Consider the following 23498-nt stretch of genomic DNA (forward strand, 5'->3'; position numbering starts at 1 on the left):
GCCAGTAGCAACTGACAGGATCACATTGTTCTCAACCTCACAAGCTCTTGTTCTGGCCTTGTGCCTGCCCTGGAGGCATGAACTCCCATCTGTAATCCTCAGATTCACCTCACCCAGCCGCTACCCACAATCTCCTCTGAGTCTTTTTTTTTTTCCCCTATCTACTAGACCACCAGGGACCCTTTGAGTCTTAGAGTCAGAAAAGGTTATGACTAAAAGAGGCATTGGAGACTGCCAAATCCAACCCTCACTTCACAGACACACAAATCAAGGCCCAGAGAAGCCAACCAGTTTGCCCAAGATCACACAGCAAATTAACACCTGAGTTGAATGGATAAGTCTCTGCGGTTCTATGTCAGTGCTGCTTCGAGTTTCATGTCATGTTGCTGAAAGAAGGCATGGGAGCCACCAAGGAGAAGGTGCACGGCAGGTCTCTCTCCTACCCCAGAGCTGGGCAGGATGCCCAGGCACTCTGAGCAGCCTGCTGAGGGGGCTGGAAGGTGGCGGAGGGTGCACCTGGGCCTTACCTCCTCCTCCCGGAGCTTCTGTTTCCTTTTCTCTTCCACAGCAGCTCTCTTTTGGTCCTCCCGCTGCCGCTGCTCTTCCAGTTTTCGCCATCGCTCCTCCATTTGCTTTTCGTACTGCAGCCTGGCTCTTTTCTGTTTCTCCAGGATCTGTTGCTCCCGAGCAGCTGGGGAAGGAAAGTAGAAGAGAGGTGTCATTACCAGAGCATCCCATGCAGTTTGGATTAAGACCAAAAACAAGGAAGCAAGAGCAGAGCCCTAAAAAGAGCCTGGTAGGATCCTAGCATGCAGTGATTGAGATAAAGGGTTCTGGTACCTCTGCCACTAGCTGGGTAACCCTAAGCATGTTAGCTAGATCATCTCTCTGCCTCGGTTTCCTCCTCTACGATGTGGGGACAGTCATGTTTGCCACATCACAGTGTTGTTAAGATTGAACAAGATGATGACCGTGAAGTTCACAGTAAGTGCCTCCCCACGTGGGAGCTATGACTATGACGGCTGTCATTAAGTCAAACTTGTGCATAATGGCTAAACTATATGCTAGGTTGAGCAATGATGCTTATAAGGCTATGTTCATTCAAAAGCAGTTTAACTGTGTGTGCACCAAGCACCAGACACTGAGCTAAGTCAGGGGGTAAAACACACGAACAAAATTTGCCTTACCCTCAAGGCATTTACTAAGGGGCCCTTAATTCCACCTAGCCAAGGCAGGGAAGGGTTCCCTGGAGGAGGCAATGCTTGTACCGACCAGCAGGAGGCAGTGAAGAAGAGAAGAACCTGAAAGCTCCTCATTTGTCTCAATGCAATGGGGAAACGCTATCTCCCTCAGCATCCTGTGAAGAACACTCTGCACTAATCTGTCTACAGCCTGCAAGAGGCAAGACGGCCTTTCTCAACCAGGGCTCTCTGTCCTAAAATATAAAATGACTCAAGTGCTGATTTTCTCAGTTCTCCTGAGGATGGCCCTTTTAGATTCCCAAGAGAGAACCTGAGGGAGTGTACACAGTTGACACTTGAAGGTGTTAGGACTTCCTTAGATCAGGGGCAGCGACTGTTTCTCTTTCTTCAATATCGTAACTGCAGACCCTAACACAGTGGCTAGAACACAGCAGAGGTTCAATGTTTGCCGAGTGAACTATTCTGAAAATTACCTATTTGTGAACATGCCAGTTGCAGTGTAGGTTCACGCCTGATTCTTCATGTTCATCTAGCAACTGTCCTAGTTCCCATTCATTCACAAATTTCTAAGAATCTTCAGAAAAGACACCACCATATCTCCACTCCCTTGGACCAAAATAGCCAAAGTGCATAACTTACCCAGACATTTTTCTCTTTCTTCTCGTCTTTCTTTGGCCAATCTCTGCCTCTCATCTGATTTCAAAAATCCCTCCATGCCTACAAAGGAGAAAACTAGATTATGTTTCAGTTCTTCACTCTTTCCCTATCTGCTAAGTACTATAGGCAACTGGGCATGGCACCCGAGTCTGACTGCACGTGCACATCATCCATCTCCATCACTTCAACCAAAGGAAGTCCAATCTGTCACTCTCCATGACACACACAGCTGAGGGGCAGCAGCTACCACTTTCGCATGCACCTGCCAAGCTGTCCTGTAGTTGGGCCAACATCAGCCCCAGAGGACAAAGCCCCTTCCTTAATCCTTTGCCCCCAGGCAGACAAGGGGTCAGAAAGTACAGTAAGTGACAGACGGGCCTGGCAGTGTGCAGAGAAGCCCACTAGGCCTCGTCTAGTCAGGCTCCCAAGCCTGAAGCAGGACCACCTGGGGGAGAGGAGAAGCACAAAAATGGACAAAATTTTGAATACTGCTCATTACACAGACACTGAACATTTTACTTTTTTTTTTTTTTTTTTTTGAGACAGAGTCTCACTCTGTCGCCTGGGCTGGAATGCGGTGGCGCGACCTTGGCTCACTGCAACCTCTGCCTCCCAGGTTCAAGCGATTCTCCTGCCTCAGCCTCTCGAGTAGCTGGGATTACAGGTGCGTGCAACCACGCATGGCTAATTTTTGTATTTTTAGTAGAGATGGGGTTTCATCATGTTGGCCAGGCTAGTCTCAAACTCCTGACCTCAGATGATTCGCCCACCTTGGCCTCCCAAAGTGCTGGGATTACAGGTGTGAGCCACCATGCCCGGCCTACTTTCTGAAAGGAGCCAACGTATGAGCTCCTTGGGTGAGCACTATGAAAGACAACACTCAAGTTCAATTTTGGTTCTGCCAAGTTTGTGCCAATGTCAATCTTAGTATCTTAGAATCATCCAAATATCTACAACAAATAAGATGGAACAAATGACAACTTCCCCGAAAATGTCTGAGAAATATCCCTGGAGCTTTTCATCTCCAACCAACCCCTGCAGAACCCTAAAGGGCTTTCTAAACAAAAGATTAAATGGATCTTCATGATCATTTTAGGATTACAAATAATTTACTGCACTCTGTTACAACTGGACCCAGTATATTATGTATATAATATTTAAGCACACCATTCTTTTTTTTTTTTTTTTGAGACGGAGTCTCGCTCTGTCGCCCAGGCCGGACTGCGGACTGCAGTGGTGCAATCTCGGCTCACTGCAAGCTCCGCTTCCCGGGTTCACGCCATTCTCCTGCCTCAGCCTCCCGAGTAGCTGGGACTACAGGCGCCCGCCACCGCGCCCGGCTAATTTTTTGTATTTTTAGTAGAGACGGGGTTTCACCTTGTTAGCCAGGATGGTCTCGATCTCCTGACCTCATGATCCACCCGCCTCGGCCTCCCAAAGAAGCACACCATTCTTTAGAAGTCAGCTTTCATGTTAATATAACCAGGTTCACTTCCCCAGCATCTGTGCCTTCCTCTCTGGGAGCATCACAAGTTGGCATCATAGTGTGCCTTGCTGCCACAGCAACCTGTGCTTCTTCTAAGGAGGTTCCTGCTGCTGTCCAGGAGGGAGGCCTGAAGGCCTGGCCCACAGTGTAGGCAGTGGGAATGAGGAAGGGGGATGGCGTGACAAACACTGGATTGTCATGATTCCCCACATACATCTGGTTTTGCAGCCTAGATTAAATATCAGGGATATTAAAATGAGATAAGTACTAGAAAAATCCAAGTGCCATTCTTCATTTTGTTTTTGGTCATCTCTTAATCATTATGACACTATCAACAATATGAACGTCATCAAAAATTTAAAGGCCAACTCCTCAGCTCATTCCAGCCACCCCGCAATCTGACTCCAAACTCTTTTCCCAACTTTACCTCAGCACTGCCCTTTCTCCCATGCACCTTCTAGCTCATGCCATCCTTTATTCTACCCTGCTCCATCTGTTTAAACCCTGCCCATCTTCAAGACCCCCACTGTCCCCCAGCCCTATGATGCTCTGTGCTCCCACATGGTTTGAGGACTCTTATTCTGCTCTCTCTGTAACTCAGTCTCCCCTGGTGTGTTCCAGAGCCATGTGTGGCTGATGCAACTCTGGGTCTATACAGCTCCGGCCACTGTCCCCTTACATGGTGGCACCAATGCATGCACACAATGCTCAGAGGCAGGTGTGAAGTTAGTGGAAGGGGAACAAGCATAGAAAATCAAGTTTCTTTTTTCTCTAAACACAGTCAGGTTCTAGTGTCTACCTCAAGAGTCTGATTAATAAGAATTAGTTCTGTGTGAAAAGTTACAAAGAAAAGCCTAGGACGCCTAGACAGACGCTCTCATTGGCACCTACACAAACTCACCCACCCAGGCAGGGCCTGAACCTAGCTCTGTACTGCCCATGCTGCCCTCTAGGTGTTCATGGGCCTGCTCCGTATCTAAAGTAAGCCTGAAAATGGCTGAAAGCGCTCTTCAAACAGAGGGAAAAAAGAAAAACAGAGAAGAAAAAGGGCCAAACACACTTGAAACTGCCCACATTACCTTGAGGCTTTACAGAGGCTGCTTGTTCCACAGACATGCATGATTTTAGGCTGCCCTCTCATGGACACACATGAGAGTCACACCTTCAAATCATCTTTCCAGAAAATCTTTATTATCATGCTCACAGTCATCATCACCAGCATCATCATAATAAGAGGTAATAACTGAGCAGTTCCCAAGGACAAAGTGCACTGCTCAGACTTTCTCAGCCCAACCACCCTATGATGACAGAGGTGCTGTGATGATCCTTGTCTTACAGGTGTAGAAACAGAGGCACTTGAAGCCAGATTCCAATGCAAGAAACTGGCTTCAGGACCCACTTTAAAAACCATTAAATTTTTTTTTCCTAATCTCTCACATCTGGCGGAAAGGACCCACATTCTCAGTTACCGCTTTTCTGTGCTGCTTCCCTGGCACGGGAAGAAATGTAACACCTTAGTCTTAGTGCTGTAACGAAGTGATGCATGCAGGGAACAAATCTTAACCTGGCCCCAAGAATGAGCTTGCAAATCTAAAGAGAAGTCAAGTGTGACTCATTAGAGCAGTATGAAGTAAGCAGTACTGTGAGCCAAGCGCTGGCCCAGCTGGACACAGATGTGGCTCCTGTCCAGGCAGGCTAATTAGCAGCTTCCTCCTCACACTAGTGGTTTGAAAATGTTTGCTCAGCAATGTTTTAGGGCTGATGCTGGGTGGGGAAGGGGTTACAGAGGACCCTGGGGGAAGCTGTAAGGCCTCTCCTTGCTCATGCCACAATGCATGGCCGTCTCTTTCTTTTTTAAATTCAGTTTTATCCCACTGAAAGGGGTGGAGTGACTCAAACAGCCCAACATGGGCAATGTGGAATCTCTGTGTTCATTTGGTAGCCATGAGCTATACATGGCTATTTAAATTTCATATCAAAATTAAGTACAGTTACAGTTCAGTTCTTTAGTCACACTGGGCACACTTTAGGCGCTTAATAGCCACATGTGGCTGGCGGTTACCACCCTGCAGTGAGAAGCCTGGCAGCTCCCTCCTGTGATTCTCTCTCTGCACGTCTAGCTGCTCTGGGGCACATGTGGATAAGGAAGTCTGAGTTCAGTCGGGATTGAGATTTACTGGATGAGTAAAGCTTCTTCCACACAGCATCTGCTTCTTCTGCTTAATTGTTGAGCAAACATTTTGAGAATATCCATTCCAAGAGAAGCCAAATTAACTCATCTCCAGCTTCCACCTTCTGACTCTACATGTTTCTCCCAAAGGCTGTCAAAAAGCCCTTGAGCTCATTCCGAGGTAAGGAGGGCTGGAGCACAAACCATGGCCTCTAACAAATAAACCAGTTATTACCAAAACACAGCCAGATTTAAACCAGAGGAATTGAGGTAGATTACTGTGAACACTAACACCAGGAGATGCCCTCTAAAGACACAGTGTATCCAAGAAGTAATGCTTGATATGGTTTGGCTCTGTGTCCCCACCCAAATCTCATCTTGAATTGTACTCCCATAATTCCCAGGTGTTGTGGGAGGGAACTGGTGGGAGATAATTTCAATCATGGGGGCAGTATTCCCCATACTGTTCTCATGGTAGTGAATAAGTCTCACGAGATCTGATGATTTTATTTCTGCGTTTGCATCTTCCTCATTTTCTCTTGCCGCTGCCATGTAAGAAATGCCTTTCGCCTCCCTCCATGATTCTGAGGCCTCCCCAGCCATTTGGAACTCTAAGTCCAATTAAACCTCCTTTTCTTCCCAGTCTTGGATATGTCTTTATCAGCAGTGTGAAAATAGACTAATACAGTGCTGAATTCAGTTCCAAAAGAAAGTCTTTATGTATGGCCTGAAATCCTAAAATGTCTAACTTTCCTACCCAATCATCCTTTGTCCATGTGCCCTATTTGTGTGCATTTATCATCTTTTTTTTATCTTTTTGAGACAGGATATCACTCTGTTGGTTGCCCAAACTGGAGTACAGTGGCACGATCATTGCTCACTGCAGCCTCCAACTCTTGGGCTTAAGTGATCCTCCCACCTCAGCCTCCCACGTAGCTGGAACCACAGGTATGTGCCACCATGCCTGGCTAATTTTTTTATTTTTCAGTAGAGACAAGGTCTCCCTATGTTGCCCAGGCTGATGTTGGAACTCCTAGGCTAAAGCAATCTTCCTGCCTCAGCCTCCTAAAGTGCTGAGATTACAGGCATGAGCCACAGTCTATGGCCATCTCTTTCTTTTTTTAAAACCAGGGACCCAGTTTTACCTTTGAACTCCATAAGAACTTATGGAGAACAGATCCATGCCTACATGCTTGCCAGGGGTTGAGAGGGTAGGGGTGGGAGGGAAGTGGATGTCTATAAAAGGCATCATGAAATGTACTCTGTCTTGATTGTATCAGTGGTAACATTTTAGTTGTGATACTGTTCTATAGTTTTGTAGGATACTACCACTGGGGGAAACCAGGTAAAGGGTACATGGGCTCTCTCTGTAATTTTTTTTTTTTTTTTTTTGAGACAGGGTTTCACTCTGTCACCCAGGCTGGAGTGCAGTGGCACAATCAGCTCACTGCAGCCTCGAACTCCTGGGCCCAAGCAATCCTCTCACCTCAGCCTCCCATGTAGCTGGGACTACAGGCATGTGTCACCATGCTTGGCTTTTTCTTTTCTTTCTCTTTTTTCTTTTTGAGACGGAGTCTCGCTCTGTTGCCCAGGCTGGAGTGCAGTGGTGCGATCTTGGCTCACTGCAACCTCCGCCTCCCGGGCTCAAGCGATTGTCCTGCCTCAGCCTCCTGAGGAGCTGGGATTATAGGCATGCGCCACCACGCCTGGTTAACTTTTGTATTTTTAGTAGAGACGGGGTTTCACCATGTTGGTCAAGCTAGTCTCAAACTCCTGACCTCGTAATCTGCCCACCTCGGCCTCCCAAAGTGCTGGGATTAAAGGCATGAGCCACCGCGCCTGGCCTCGGCAATTTTTTTCTTATTTATTTATTTATTTATTTATTTATTTATTTATTTATTTGTAGAGATGCAGTCTCACTATGTTGCCCAGGCTGATCTTGAACTCCTGGCCTCAAGTGGTCCTCCTGCCTCAGCCTCCCAAAATGTTGGGATTACAGGCATTAGCCACTGCACCCAGCCTATAATATTTCTTATAGCTGCGTGTGGATTGACAATGACCTCAAAATACAAAAGTTTAATTATTTTTTAAAAAAATCTGGCCCAAATGTGAAGCCCTGGGAAGGACCTAAAGGGGATACCCTCTCAGAGATGCCCTACCCAGGAGAAGGACAAAGAGCACCCATGTCAGAGCCACCCCTTCCCCACTGTTGATGCAATAATGTTTCCCAGGGCAACAGCATCCAGGCAAACTTGCAACTCTGAAACAGAGGTCTTTTCCTGGGCAATTAATTCCTACAAAAAAATTGGAATAAAACAGGGATACTGAGCAGTCAAACAACTATCTTATGTTAACAGAAAAGCATAAAATCTCATACTTGACTGAGATCCTACTATCCCTGGGCTGCAGGAACACATTTTTAAAAACTAATTTTAAAATGAATTTTATTAGCTTGAAGTACTCTCCTATAGAATATTAATGACCTGATATTAGTCAATTATTCATGGTAAGAACCACTATCAAAATACAAAGTTTTAAAGGGAAGCCAGCTGTGTTCAACTTTGAAAAATTAATCACATTAAATGAATTTTAAAATAACCTTTCCGATCACACTCAGATTTGTGCAACTGCAATGTCCAGAAAAAAAGGGAAGGAGGAATGAAGAGCTCATCCAATAGGAAATACAATGAAGGGTCCTCACCTCCTCTGGGGAGCCATCCTGATCCCTTCAAGGGGTTGCCAGGCATCCTCTGCTCTGTGGACTCACAGGCACTGTTTCCCACCTTAATGGTCACTCTTGGTTGCACTGTGATGATCTGTTTAAGCATGTGGAGACCACCGCTTCTCAACTTTGGCTATACAATGGAATCACCTGGAGAGCTTTCAAAAATATAGATGCCTGGGTCTCCCTTCAGATTCTGATCTAGTCAGTCTTAGGTGTGGTTTAGGCACTGTTGCTTTAAAAGCCCCGCGTGTGATTCTAATGTGCATCCAGACCTGACAACTGTCCTAGCCCACTGCTCACCACACTTGAGCATGCATCAGAACCACCTGGAGGGCTTGTGAAAATGACTGCTGGACATCACCTCCAGAACTTCTGATGGAGTAAGTCTGGGGTGAGCCAGAGAATCTGCCTTTCTAACAAGCTTCCAGGTGAGGCTGACACTACTGGTCCAGGGCCCACACCTTGAGAACCAGTGTTCTAGATTATGGTGATTCTACAGGGCAGGGCCCTCCCTGTGGCTACTCTCTGTATGACAGAGCTCAGCAGAGTGAGCCCCAAAACAGTCTGCAGAAGGAATGACTGATCACCTGCCACATTCCTCCACAGTGTTTACCTTTGCCAAGGTTGTTACTGTCCTACATGCTACTGTCTAGGTCTGTTTGTTTTGTTTTGTTTTGTTTTGTTTTCCGTGGAGGTGGAAGGCAGGGGCAGGGGGACTGGGTCTTACTATGCTGCCCCTGGTTGATCTTTAACTCCTGGCCTCAAGCAATCCTCCTGCCTCAGCCTCTCCAGTCGCTGTGATTACAGGTGTGCACCACCCTGCCAGGCTTTGGGTCTTTTCATTTGACCCTTGTCCTCTAAACTCTTGTCTTATCTCTGAATCTCTGGCACCCTAAAGACTGGGAGGGACTCAAAAAGTTGCTGAATCAAAGGGCCACGAATATTATGTCCCATTGATGGAAACCTCCCAATTTGCAGAATATTTTAACCTCATACCAGAAGTGTCTATAAAAACAACCAACATTTTAAGGCATCTTTGTACCCATTTTTCTGCTAGAGTTGTGGGAGGAATACAAGGGTAAAGAAAGGAAGGCACTCCATGAGCTGCTCCCCATAGCCCCACCCCCAACACACACACAGATTAATCTTTCCATTGAATTCCATCAGTGCTCTGATTCTCACAGACCTTTTTCCTCTTTACTTCACATTCGGGTCCTTCCCTCTCTCATTCACCACCCTCAGGCACAGGAAACTCTACCCTCCCGATGCCCTCTCTCGCCAACCCTCCCTTTCCAGTCCATCCATCAGGATACAAGCTTCTTAAGGGCAGGGCTATGTTCCATTTCTTCTTGTAGCCCCCAAAGGGCCTAGCACAGTGTTTTGTGCACAGTAAGCACTCAAGAAATGTCAAGTTCATGAAGGGGAAGCAGTAACATATACTGAGCACCTCAGTTTTTGTTCTGTCTTGGCCTCCAGGGGATTGGAGGATCCCACCCACGTTGAGGGTGGATCTTCCCCCACCTAGTCCACTCAGACTCACACACCAATTTCCTCTGAAAACACTCTCACAGACACACACAAAAATAATGCTTTACCAGCTCTCTAGGTATTCCCCAATCCAGTCAAGTTGACACTAAAAATTAACCATCACACTGGATAAATATAATATGGCGTTATACATCCATACAATGAAATAATGTTCAGCCATAAAAAAGGAATGAAGGGGATGGGAGACATTGTGAAACACTACTAATGGGTTCAAGATTTCTTTTGGGAGTGATGAAAATGTGATGGTATTTTAGGCAGTGGTGACAGTTTCACAACATTGCGAATGTACAAAATGCCACCAGATTACACTTCAAAATGATTAATGTTATTATTAGTAAATTATATTGCAATAAAAGAATTTGTAGTGCTCCCCCCCACCCCAAAAAAAGCAAAATACCAAAAACCACATCAGGGAGTGTTCCACAACAAGGCTTAAAATCCAGAGCCTAGTTGATCTTATCTGCGGCCTTCTCCCAAATCTTCTAGGTTGCCTGTTTTTCCTTTTCATCCCAAATATCTAGATGATATATCTGGTTCCAAAGGCAAACCTATGTGGTACATGTGAGTATGTAAAAATCATATATATTTCTATAAAGTATCTTTGTCACACAATCCCAACAGCTTTGTTATTAATTATACTTTGTAAAACTGGGGAGCAAAAATAAATGTTAGCAAGTTGGAAGAAAAATGAGTGTTTATTTTTAAAAGGGGATGAAAAAAACTGCCAATAAATGATAAATGTGTTGTGATAAACAGCTGCTGTGATGGTTACATGAAATGTGTGGGAAGAACTTCCCGTATAATAAATGCTCATTAAATGTTGCTGGCCATTATTTTTAGAGGGGTTCTTTTCTTTTCTTTTTTTTTTTTTTTGAGATGGAGTCTCGCTCTGTCACCCAGGCTGGAGTGCAGTGGCACAATCTTGGCTTACTGCAAGCTCCACCTCCCAGGTTCACACCATTCTCCTGCCTCAGCCTCCTGAGTAGCTGGGACTACAGATGCCCGCCACCACGCCTGGCTAATTTTTTGTTTTAGTAGAGATGGGGTTTCACCGTGTTAGCCAGGATAGTCTCGATCTCCTGACCTCGTGATCCGCCTGCCTCAGCCTCCTAAAGTGCTGGGATTACAGGCGTGAGCCACTGCACCCGGCCCATTTCTTTAATCTAGAAAATAACCCACCGGCCGGGCGCGGTGGCTCACGCCTGTAATCCCAGCACTTTGAGAGGCCGAGGCGGGCGGATCACCTGAGGTCTGGAGTTCGAGACCAACCTGACCAACATGGAGAAACCCCATCTACTAAAAATAGAAAAATTAGCCGGGCATGGTGGCACATGCCTGTAATCCCAGCTACTTGGGAGGCTGAGGCAGGAGAATCACTTGAATCTGGGAGGCGGAGGCTGCGGTGAGCCATGACTGCGCCATTGCACTCCAGCCTGGGCAACGAGAGTGAAACTCCGTCTCAAAAAAAAAAAAAAAAGAAAGAAATGGAGACTTTAAAACATCAAGTGACCCACCCATCCAATGTCCTATTAAGTGGGAGGAGTCTAATTATCTCTCTGACTTTTAATCCAGTGTGATTTCTTCTGGACTCTGCTGCTCTCCTGGGAGAGAGGAGGTGGGGTCAGATTCAGATCAGTGAAAGGCAGGAGTTGGAAATTCCAGGCAAGGGTAATGATTTATGCAAAAATATGCTAGAAAATAATAAAGCCTGAAATCCAATTGAACTTTTCAATCTTGCAAGTGGAAACTGAAAATCAACTGACAGAATCTAGAACCTTTTTCATTATTGCATGAGGGTATATTGTTTTTGTTCGGAAAGCATCACATACTCCCGCCTCATATTTTTCATTTAAAACCTCAAAACCAATTACAATCCCATAAGGTCACTAAACTTCCCATTTAAATTTCTTTCAGTGTAGGGCTAAATCTCAATTCTCTCCATAACTCAGGATGAGTGCTTTAATACAATGGACTTTTGATGAAAACCAACAGCGAAATTGTGTAGCAACCTAATTTTTCTTCAAAATGAAATTCATAACCATTAAAGGCACTCTGAGAACATCAACAAAACAACCCTTAACAGTGTTAAAATGAGGCCAGGCGCGGTGGTTTACTCCTGTAATCCCGGCACTTTGGGAGGCTGAGACAGGTGAATCACCTGAGGTCAGGAGTTCAAGACAAGCCTGGCCAACATGGTGAAACCCCGTCACTACAAAAAAATACAAAAAATTAGCTGGGTGTGGTGGTGTGTGCCTGTAGTCCCTGCTACTCAGGAGGCTGAGGCAGGAGAATCACTTGAACCTGGGAGGTGGAGGTTACAGTGAGCCAAGATCGTGCCACTGCACTCTAGCCTGGGTGACAGAATGAGACTCCATCTCAAAACAAACAAACAAACAAACAAAAACAGTGTTAAAATGAAGGTTTAATCATACCAGCATACAATGTGCAAAAAAAGAAAACCCTAAAAAGTCAATTTAATGTATGATTGGCACTTTCAAAATCCCAAATCATGAAATTTCAGGTGGAACAGCTCTGAGGCCCCATTCAACCAGAGATGAGACTGCTCCATCTCTCTCTCCACCAGAAAGAGAACTCTGTCTTTATGTTCTTGGCTTTTTCCATTCTACCCATCCAATATGAATCAGTTATTGGGCTTTCATTACACAGATGGAGAATGTATGTGGGTAGATTTCCAGGACTGTGAGAAATGAATCAGTTTTCATTAATCGACACTGGAAAGGGGAAAAATATGCTGCATGGGGGTGGGGGATGGGGGGAATAAAAGAGAGAAGGAAGTGAAAGAGAGATGAGGGACTAGGAAGCCATGAGCCATGTTGGACTGTTTCTGGGGAGAGTTCTGACTAGGAATTGAGTGAGGGAAGGGTTTTGTGTGACTCTTGGAAGGTACAGTGTGTGGGTGTGTCAGTGTGTGTGTGCACAAATAATACTGGGAGCCAGAGGACGAGGCAAAAAGCTGCATATTAGGAATTCATCTTTTGACACTTTTCTAGTCTCCAGTAAATGTACAAATTGCTTTTAATCCCTTTTGACTACTGAATTCTATTTCTTCGACTATTACATGAAGTTCTGGTATTTATTTGGGATACTTATTTTGGAAACAAATACCTAGGCAGGAACTAACCTCAGGGGAATCATATGGTTACAAAGACCTATCAGTGGCCATTTATTCCATTTTCTATCTCTGACAAGAGCAGAACCAGGTGGTTTCAACTTAAATTTGTCTCTCAGGAAGATGCCATTTCTTGCAATAGCTTAATAACTCTTCCGAGCATTTTTTTGGGTGGGGGAGGGTTCTAATCCAATGATTCTCAAGCTTTCGTGTGCATCAGAATCCATTAGAGGGCTTATTAAAAACTGATTGCTGGGCTCTACCCCTAGAATTTCTGAGTTAGTAGGTCTGGGGTGGGGCCTGAGAATTTGTATTTCTAATAAATTCCCAGATGATGCTGATGCTGCTAGTCTAGGGACCACGCTCTGACAATGAATGATCTAATCCATTTCCTACCTGCTATAATTTTCTGAACTGGCTTAAATTTTCTCTTAAATGGTGATAATAAGTCACTATTATCACCCAATTCATTCCTTGCAACGTGCCCCTTTCAAAGATGTCATGATTCATACTTTTGAATGAGGCAAGTCTAGAACTAGGAATTAAGTTCAATAACTACTGACTACTAGGATGAAGGTATAGACATCCAAAAGGTATAGACAATTAAAAAATGTATACAGGCCGGGCGCAGTGGCTCATGCCTGTAATCCCAGCACTTTGGGAGGCTGAGGCGGGTGGATCACTTGAGGTCAGGAGTTCGAGACCAGCCCGGCCAACATGACAAAACCCCGTCTCTACTAAAAATACAAAAATTAGGCGTGGTGGCGTGCACCGTAATCCCAGCTACTTGGGAGGCTGAGGCAGGAGAATCTCTTGAACCCAGGAGGTGGAGGTTGCAGTGAGCCAAGATCACGCCACTGCACTCTAGCCTGGGCAACAAGAGCAAAACTTAGTCTCAAAAAAAAAAAAAAATTGTATACAGATGCCAAAAAGTCCTTGAAAAGAAAGAAGTGGAGAAATAGGGAACTACTTTAAGACTATATACAAATCTACGCCGTTAATAGATTTTTATAAAATATGCCCACTAAATTCCCATAGGTTTCCTTTTAAAACAGCTAACTGAATTACATTTTCCAGAAAAATGCAGACATGTAAGATTATTACTAAACAATTCAAATGATTCCTAAATGATTTTCTTAAATCACAATTGCACAGCTAAGAGAAGGGCCATTTTCCCCACCAAATGTAGAATTGGGCGAAGCCCAAACAATACAAAGTGCATAGTACTTTGACATCAAGGTCAAATAATAATAATGAGAATGGATCCCTCCCCTGACCCCCGACTCCAAAACTTGGCATGTAATCATCACCATTCTGCCACAAAATCCTCTACACACGGTTATCAGAAGAAGGTACAACAGGAGTTCTAGCCGCGCACAGTGACTCACGCCTGTAATCCCAGCACTTTGGGAGGCCGAGGTGGGCAGATCACCTGAGGTCAGGAGTTTGAGACCAGCCTGGCTAACATGGCAAAACCCCGTCTCTACTAAAAATATAAAAATTAGCCAGGTGTGGTGGCATAAACATAGTACCAGCTACTCGAGAGGCTGAGGCACGAGAATTGCTTGAACCTGGGAGGTGGAGGTTGCCGTGAGCCAAAGTTGCACCATTGCACTCCACCCTGGGCATCAGAATAAGACTCTGTCTAAAAAAACAACAACGACAACAACAAAAAAAACAGGAAAGTTCCGCAGGACCTGCTCTAAGCTTCCTCTTCTATAAAATGGAGATAAGAGTAGAACCTATCATAGAGTGAGAATTAAATGAGATATAGGCACTGCTTAACTGTATCCAGCACACAATAGGAGCTCAACAAATCCAGCTATTCTGCGTTGGCTATTCTAATGCACATGCTCCTATTTATTGTTCTCCACCTTCCACTATGGAGGGCCTCTGCACACACACCTGGAAACCTCAATCAGGCTACCTTTCCTAATGGGGGTGATAAGATAGAGTACATTACAACACTGCCAGTGTAAAACTAGGGCAAGGATTCTTTTCCAACAAAAATTATACTAGAAACATGTATATGTCCTCTTCATTTCTCATCTTCTGCAAAGAGTATATCAGTTACCAATCACTGTTTGTTTGCTTGTTTTTGTCTACACATGTAGACACACGCCCTTTATGGTAGAAATGAGAGATCCTGTCTTCAGCAAAATAAGTAATTTCTTATTTAAAAAGTACGTAGAGATGACATCTCACAAACACTAATTATGAAGGTGGTATATGATGATGTTATTCTATATTCATACACATGTACTCAGCCACCCCAGGAACTCCTGCGCCAGTAACTCAATCTGGTAAATAAGCTCCCCAGAACCAAAAGACAACATGCCAAGTTATAAAATTCAACAGTGCCTAGTTTTGAGGACTGTACACGTATTTGTGGGCTAGATTGTCTTTTTCTAAAAATATGAGTTCCTAAGCACCTACTTCTGGCCAGGCATTATTCTCTACAAATATTATTTAATGCTCACAATACTCCTAGGAGGTGGGAGGCACCCCCATTTTATAGATGAGGAAATTGAGACTCAGAGAGGTTAAGAAATCTGTCCAAAGTCACACAGCTATTAAGTAGCAAAGCATGAATTTGAGGCCAGTCTGGTTGACTCTCAATAATGAGAGGGCCTAAAGGGAAGGAGCACTGACAGAGAGACCTAGATATCTAGAAAATGGTAGCTATTCCTACTGGGAAGCACGAAGGATGATGCTAAGAAAGAGGAGTGGGCTCTGCCCAGCTCAGTTAAATCCCTGCTCAGCACACACTAAGTGTGACTTCTGGGGAAGCTTCTCAGCCTCACTTTTCTCAGCTGTTAAACAGCACCTGTGTTACAGAGTAATGTGGAGCTTAAGGAACAATATATGCAAAGCTCTTAGAACATATTAAATGCCTAATAAATATTAGCTAACAGTATTATCATCATTATTACTGGTTTAGATATGGCCCTGAAATGAGATATGTCCTGAGTATCCAGAAAGCATGAGTATTCCTTAATCTCATTACCTGACCACCACCATGTCTACTACCACAGTCTAGAACCAGCCCCTGACCCTCCCTGATCTTTAATCCTTGTTTTCACATCAGCAATGTCTTCAGCTTGCCCCAAGCCTCCAGTGGGGGACCCATTGGGTAGGCTAGGCCCCGAGAGTGTACATATTTGCCAAAACTCATCAAACAGTAGACTTAAAATTTGTGCATTGTAGTGTATGTAATTTATACCTATTTTCAAAGCTGTAACAACTACAGCAACAAACAGAAAAGGCAAAATTCAGTGCTGACCACCTGCCATATGTTGTTAGTGCCCAAAGCTATGAAGAATAACCCGGCAACTCCCAGGTAACCACATCTTCACTGTGGCCCTGTGAAGAAGTGGGGTGTATTTGGACTCCAAGGGCAGCATGGGAAATAGGAGGTATGCCTTCTGCCAGGGCCAGCATGGGAACTGAAGTCACCTGCAAAGGCCCAGGCAGTGGCTGAAGAGAAAGAGCATGGCAAAAAGGCCTAACCTTGCTGGTTACCAGAAGATAAGGAAATCTAAGAAGCTGGTTCGTTGGTCCTGAACTCTTCCTTGACAGCTGTTATCTTCCAGGGTAACTGTTAACCTGACTTTCTCATGCTTTTAACTGTCTCCAGTCTACATCAGATCCCAGCTACAAATGCCCCAAAGGCCTGGTTCTTTCTACAGCTACAGTAAAACTGCCTCAATTGGATTTTCTCCCCATTCATAGATAAAGCTCAGCCCCCTCGGCCCTGAGAGCTTCTTCTTGGCTCCATCCATGTGGCCTGCCCAACTGTATCCTAGTCAAGAGACTGGGTAAATTCCTTAACATCTCAGAGGTTTAAATTCCTCTTCTATAAAATAGGAACATTACTACCTACATCCCAAGGTTATGGGGTAGAGGCAAGACCTTTTGAAAATGCTTGGCATGCAGGAGTATTCACAGTTGGCTCCTTTCCCCTGATGATAGAAGAGAACACAGACAAAACAAGTTGGGGCAGATGACCACTGGGCCCCAAATCCTGGAATCATTTCAGTCTTCCCAAGAACCCCATAAAACTACTCCAGGAAACCCCCCACAACTTCCTAAGAGGTCACAGTTTTCATTCTAAGGCTTTCTCTGCCAAGCTGATAGTTTGCTTAGAAGCTAAGATGAGCAAACTCAAAGGTAGCGAAGGAAGACATAGTCTAGAAAAATTAAACTCAACTGATTATCTACCGGGCACCATGATATGAAAGCTTAGCTCCCACCCTGGATCCTCATCTGGGAGGCAGGAATTACCTAGCTTCCTGTGTTTCTACAATTATATGTAATTTCAAAATAAGCCAATATGCACAGCATATTCTATTCACAGCATGATTTGCTAGTTAAAAGAAACCTATACAGCTAAGCTCAGGGCTCCCTAAGGTAATACGGGTGACTCTATGCTGAGGTCTGTCCTCCCAGCCTTCTTCCCTGTGCGGTGGTTGCAAGATCATCTCTCCTCCACCTTCATGCTCTCCTTTCTGTGTAATTCTGTTCATCACAGTTTTTTGTGCATGCCTGTTCTTCAACAACAAGAATGTGGATTCTACCCACCCTATACAAGGTGATCCCAAAAAACCAACAAGCAAATGGGGCTAGAATGAGATAAGGCAGTAAACATGGACAGGGCAGCAAGGGTAGAGTTTTCTACCATGGACAGGGCATGTAGGTCTGGGCATCTGAACTTGGCCTCAGGTCCTTTAGAGATGGAGAGGCTCTGACATGCAGGGCTTTTGCGTGAGCTTCTGGAGTCTCACCTGATAAAGGGCTCCAATCATGCAGACAAAATGACCCTTGAAGAGCACCCCCACATCCCCCAGCAAGTACAGAGAGGGCAGCTGAGTACAGTGCCCTGGGAGCAGGGGCTCCAGAGCCAGGTAGCCTGGGTTCTAACCCCATGGAGATCGCGCCCACTCACTGGATCACTAGGAGCATTAATTGAGAGGGAAAGGATGCAAACAGGAGGAGGGAAAAGAGGGAACTGCTCAGTACACTATGCGCTACACAAGCACTGCTCAATAAATGTCAGGCATCATTATTCCTCAGCCTAACCCAGCCAGTATTTTCCTGTAATGGTGGGGCAGAGGCTGGCTTTCAGGTTACATATCAGGAGAAGCGGTTGCTCAATGAGGGTTGTGTCATGTGAAAATACAAGCTCCCAACTCACCAATCCAAGACAAGACTCAGAAAGGCTTTGAGCTTCTGGAAAGAGGGCCAAGACACGGGGATAAATGACTCTTGCTTAGAAGCTTGTTGCTTTTTCTCAGCAACAAAGCACAAGAAATGTACAAATATCTCTTTTAAACTGTGGACAGAACCCAGCAGGTAATGACTGGTAAAGAGAAATTACCTGTGGAGTTTCCAGTATTAGCAATGTCATTTGATTTCTATTCATGGTGATGTGTATGTGTGTTTAATAACATGAAAGTAAAAGATGTAAAAGAGTCTCATCCTTCCTATAGGGAGATAGCTAAAAAGAAAAAGAAAGAAAAAAGGATCCCAAAGGCTCACCAGAGACCTTTCCAGCCAATCTCCATGGCACTCCTGGCCCAGATGCCCATAAGGCCCCAGGTCCCTACCATAGGACAAGCTGCACTCTTGAGTATGAGCAAGCCAACTGCAAGCTCTTTGTCTCAAGCTGATTATATTGTCCTCATTCCTTGTTTCTGTTTCTGCACAATTACATGTATGTGGTTGTTTGGGGTCCCTCCAACCTCACTGTTACAGGGTTAACAGGACCCTTCAGACCCCTTCCCTGAGGACAGCCCCTTCTTCCTAGGCTGACAACTCTTCCTTGGCCATCTCACTGGGCATCAGATCTGATTTTTTTTTTTTTTTTGAGACAGAGTCTCACTCGGTCGCCTAGGCTGGAATGCAGTGGCACGATCCTAGCTCACTGTAACCTCTGCCTCCTGGGATCAAGGGATTCTTGTGCTTCAGCCTCCTGAGTAGCTGGGATTACAGGTGTGCACCACCACGCTCAGCTTTTTGTATTTTTAGTAGAGGCGAAGTTTCACCATGTTGGCCAGGCTGGTCTCAAACTTCTGACCTTAGGTGATCAGCCCGCCTCAGACTCCCAAAGTACTGGGATTACAGGCATAACCCACCGCGCCCGGCCCAGATCTGAGCTTTAATCACTGCTGAGCACAAACTACCCAATGTGAACTGCTTGCTCTCCTAGCCCTGCTATTCCAACTTAGCTCATGGCAATTCCAGCCCACAGAAGAGATGGTCCCAGTTACACCACTGAGTCCAGAGGCCACTGACAAGGCTACTGAAGAGCAATGCAAGTCATCAGGGTAGTGCTTAGGCCTGCTCCTACCACCAGCTGGCTTCCGTTTCAAGAAGATTCCTTAGTTTTAAAACAAAATGCAAAGGATAAATAAAGGGGCTAGGAAAAAAAATCACTCTTTTGGGCTGGGAGCAGTGGCTCATGCCTGTATTCCCAGTGCTTAGGAAGAAAGTGGGAGCATCGTTTGAGGCCAGGAGTTCAAGACCAGCCTGGGCAACATACCAAGACCCTGTCTCTACAAAAAATATTTTTTTAATTAGAGAGTAAAACTCTTGGTATTACAACAATTGGGAGACAGGTTAAAAATGATTTTGAAAGTTAGAACCCCTGTTCCATTTCCATTTGTCTCTGAAAAACATGCCCAGCAGAGTTACCCCCATCCTAGGCCTACAGATCTGTGCGTCTGGCATCCTCAGTCCAGCCACAACATAATTCTTAAACAAGGACAATCTTCAAGGGCACTTTGAGGCCTTGAGGAAACAGCTTCATGGCACAAATAGATTATTATTTTTGTATTTTTTTTGAGACGGAGTCTCGCACTGTTGTCGGGGCTGCAGTGCAATGGCGCGATCTCGGCTCACTGCAACCTCCGCCTCCTGGGTTCATGCCATTCTCCTGCCTCAGCCTCCCAAGTAGCTGGGATTACAGGTGCACACCACCACACCCGGCTAATGTTTTGTATTTTTAGTAGAGACGGGGTTTCATTATATTGACCAGACTGGTCTCGAACTCCTGACCTTGTGATCTGCCCACCTTGGCCTCCCAAAGTGCTGGGATTACAGGCGTGAGCCACTGCGCCCGGCCACAGATAGATTATTTTTAAACCACAAAAGCAGAGTACAATGTGTAACCGCATTCAACATTGTTCAGGGCAGTCTGGTTGGCCTTTTAAACAGCCTCGCAGTTATCTCTAGCTTGTCAATTAAATTTACCTCTATCTAACCCACCTCCAGCCTCTAACCGCATCCCTGCTAAAACCCTCTTTGGAAAACAAAAGAACCATGAATCTTAAAGTTCAATTTATTGCTGCCAGTAGTTAAAAGTTGATTTTGAAAATAGTAAAACTACAGATTATGATACAAAAGAAAAGGTAAACCGTGGAACTGAATATTTGGTTCTGGGAAAGATTTGTGAAAAGTAAAACAACGAGGCCTTCAGGGGAGAATTCCCAAGGTTTATGGACATGTACAAGCTTCTCTTTTGGCCATTCCACAGAAAAGGCCACTGCCATTCCAAAATAACACATAGGAAAAGTGCTTTTCCCATGTGCACTACAGGTATGCCTGAGTATGGATGGTACCTGGGCTGTTGTGGCTGTCACTATTTCTTTCCTTTTCATTTCAGGAACATAAAAATAAATGATATATGCATTTTCAAATCCTGTGTGTTGCCATTCATCTGTAAAAACGATCATCAAAGAACAGCAATATGCTGTTGCTATTTAAGCATGCTAGCACATCACAGCAATCGGGTTTTGGATTTACCACATTATTTTAAGTTAGCCAAACTGTCATACTTAAAGGTCAATACATACATTTCTATTATAGCTGACCGAAAACTAGTGCTTCAGATGACCACTGCCTTTAAAAATAGCAAGCTACACAATCCTTACATTCTAATACTGTGGTTCTCAACCAGGGGAGACTGTGTACCCCAGTGCTTGGCAAAGTCTGGAGATATTTTGAGACTCCAAAATATCTCCTGGGGAGGTGCTACTGGCATCTAGTGGGTACAGGTCAGGGATGCTGCTAAACATTCTACAGTGCACAGGACAACCCTCAGCCTCAAACAAGAATCATCCAGCCCTTGGCTCAGGCCTGTAATCCCAACACTTTGGGAGGCTGAGACGAGTGGATCACTTGAGGTCAGGGGTACGAGACCAGCCTGGCCAACATGGTGAAACTCTGTCTCTACCAAAAATACAAAAATTAGCCAGGTGTGGTGACACGCGCCTGTAATCCCAGCTACTCGGGAGTGTGAGGCAGGAGAATCACTTGAACCCGGGAGGCGGAGGTTCCAGTGAGCTGAGACCGCATCGCTGCACCCCCGCCTGGTCAACAGAGCAAGACTCACAAAAAAAAAAAAAAAAAGAATCATCCAGCCCCAAAAGTGAGTAGTGCCAAGGGTAAGGAAGCCTGCTGTAGTAAGCTACACTGCATGTGACGAATAAAAAAACCTTCTTCACAGTGTATACACCTTGGTTCATGCCACATCAATATACGGTAGTAATATAAAACCTCAGAAAACGATAAAGAAAATAAACACGATTCCCATTTGGGTGGCTTTGTTAAAAATGGTAGCAATAATAAAATAATTCTTCAATCGCAGAGAATTAGTAAACTTCTGATAGGTGTTTGACAGCATCAATGGGCATAATTTGTTCCCCTAGGTAGGACTGTACCCTCCCTCCCTTCCTTCCTGTTCCCTCCCTCCCTCCCTCTCTCTCTCTCTTTCTTTCTTTTTGAGACAGAGTCTCACTCTACTGCCCAGGCTGGAGTGCACTGGCACAATCTCGGCTCACTGCAACCTCCGCCTCCCTGGTTCAAGCAATTCTCCTGCCTCAGCCTATCGAGTAGCTGGGATTACAGGTGCGCACCACCACGCCCAGCTAATTTTTGAATTTTTAATAGAGATGGGGTTTTGACATGTTGGCCAGGCTGGTCTCGAACTCCTGACCTCAAGTGATCTATCTACCTGCCTCAGCCTCTCAAAGTGCTGGGATTACAGGTGTAAGCTACCACACCCGGCCAGTAGGGCTGTATCTAAACGCCTTATTAGTAGTGGTAAGGCTTTTAATTATTATGGAATAAACTGCACCAACCTTCCTTTCCCAGATGGCAGTACAGTGAAACCATGGTAGGAACCTGCAAGCGAGGCAAACACATTGAGCTGCCTCACAATCTGGAGTGGGAAGGCTTACTTGGCCAGGCAACCCTGCTCAACAGGCCACCCTGAGGAGGTCAAACACACGCCATCTGCCTTCATATGACCTATACAGGCCCTACCAGGCAAATAAGTCCCCTCCTAAGGACATTAGTATAAATTATACTCTTAGTCATAATCCCTGTTGGTGAAAACAATTCATATTGAGTCTTACAACAAATATCCTGCCTACTTACTGTGGGCACAGGAAAGAGGAGAAGAAGGATGGATGGAAACAGCTTTGATACTTGTAAAAACCCGTAAGTACTGAAAACTGGGTTTACCTGATTTGATCAGCACTAAAAGGAAGTCTGATGTATCTGATCAAAGTTCTTAAAAAAATACAGCATTTCCCTACAGGCACGTTTTTACCATAAAGAATCAGTAAAATGTAGGTTGCCTTACAACCACAGCCACTGTGGCCCTTTTTATAGTAACAAGGAAGGACGTCTGTGTTCCCAAGGTAACCCAACATTCCGCTCATCAATATGGCACTGAGTACTTTCATCGAGCACAGTATCCACCTTCTGAGGTTTCAAAATTGGAGTTCTCTGCTAAGGACAGGGCGTGATGGTTGTATGCACACAATACATAGCCAATATGGTCACTAAATGTAAGAAACAAAGATAAAGAGAAGGAACAGGGTAAAATGTTTTCTCAAGTTTTTTTCTTTTTTCTTTTTTTGTGACAAAGCCTCACTCTGCTGCCCAGGATGGAGTGCAGTGGTGCAATCTTGGCTCACTGCAACCTCCACCTCCCAGGTTCAAGTGATTCTCCTGCCTCAGCCTCCCAAGTAGCTGGGATTACAGGCATCCGCCAACATGCCCAGCTAATTTTTCTATTTTTAGTAGACATGGGGTTTCACCATGTTGGCCAGGCTGGTCTCGAACTCCTGACCTCAAGTGATCCACCTGCCTCAGCCTCCCAAAGTGCTGGGATTACAGGTGTGAGCCACCGTGCAGGCCTGCGCAGTTTTTTTCTAAGTGATCATTCAAGCTGGTAACAAGCCATTTCATCCAATTCACCCAAAGACCTTCATTGTATGCAAAGAGATGTCTGTGAGGAATATGCAAAAGCTAATAAAGGCATTTCAAATACAGGCAGGCCCTAAGGTGTGGCCGGTCCTTCTCAGAGCCGCCTTCTCACTGTCCTTTCCTTATCCTGTCCCTCACACTGCTGATGTCCATGTCCCGCACCCAATCCTGTCTTCCCAGCTGCTCCTGTCCCCTATCCCACACAGGTGGGTCCAGGGCTGGGCCCACGGGAACCCTGTCCTCCCATTTCAGCTACACGGTCCCATTTCAGCTACACGGTCCCATTTCAGCTACACGATAAATGA

At 45.1% G+C, this 23498-nt stretch overlaps 1 protein-coding gene across 23 annotated transcripts in view; it reads right to left on the reverse strand.

The window, feature by feature from the left end:
• The window catches only part of MAP7D2 (MAP7 domain containing 2), a 110195-nt gene that overhangs the window by 56174 nt on the left and 30523 nt on the right, over nucleotides 1-23498 (reverse strand). For all 23 annotated transcript variants that reach the window (NM_001168466.2, XM_005274480.4, NM_152780.4 and 20 more), the window contains exons 2-3: nucleotides 1842-1919; nucleotides 528-691 (exon numbers count right to left, since the gene is read on the reverse strand). In NM_001168466.2, coding sequence (NP_001161938.1) covers nucleotides 528-691; nucleotides 1842-1919 — 242 coding nt within the window. The remainder of the gene's footprint in view (nucleotides 1-527; nucleotides 692-1841; nucleotides 1920-23498) is intronic.

This window comes from Homo sapiens, chromosome X (assembly GCF_000001405.40).
Source record: "Homo sapiens chromosome X, GRCh38.p14 Primary Assembly".
NCBI classification, from domain to species: Eukaryota; Metazoa; Chordata; class Mammalia; order Primates; family Hominidae; genus Homo; species Homo sapiens.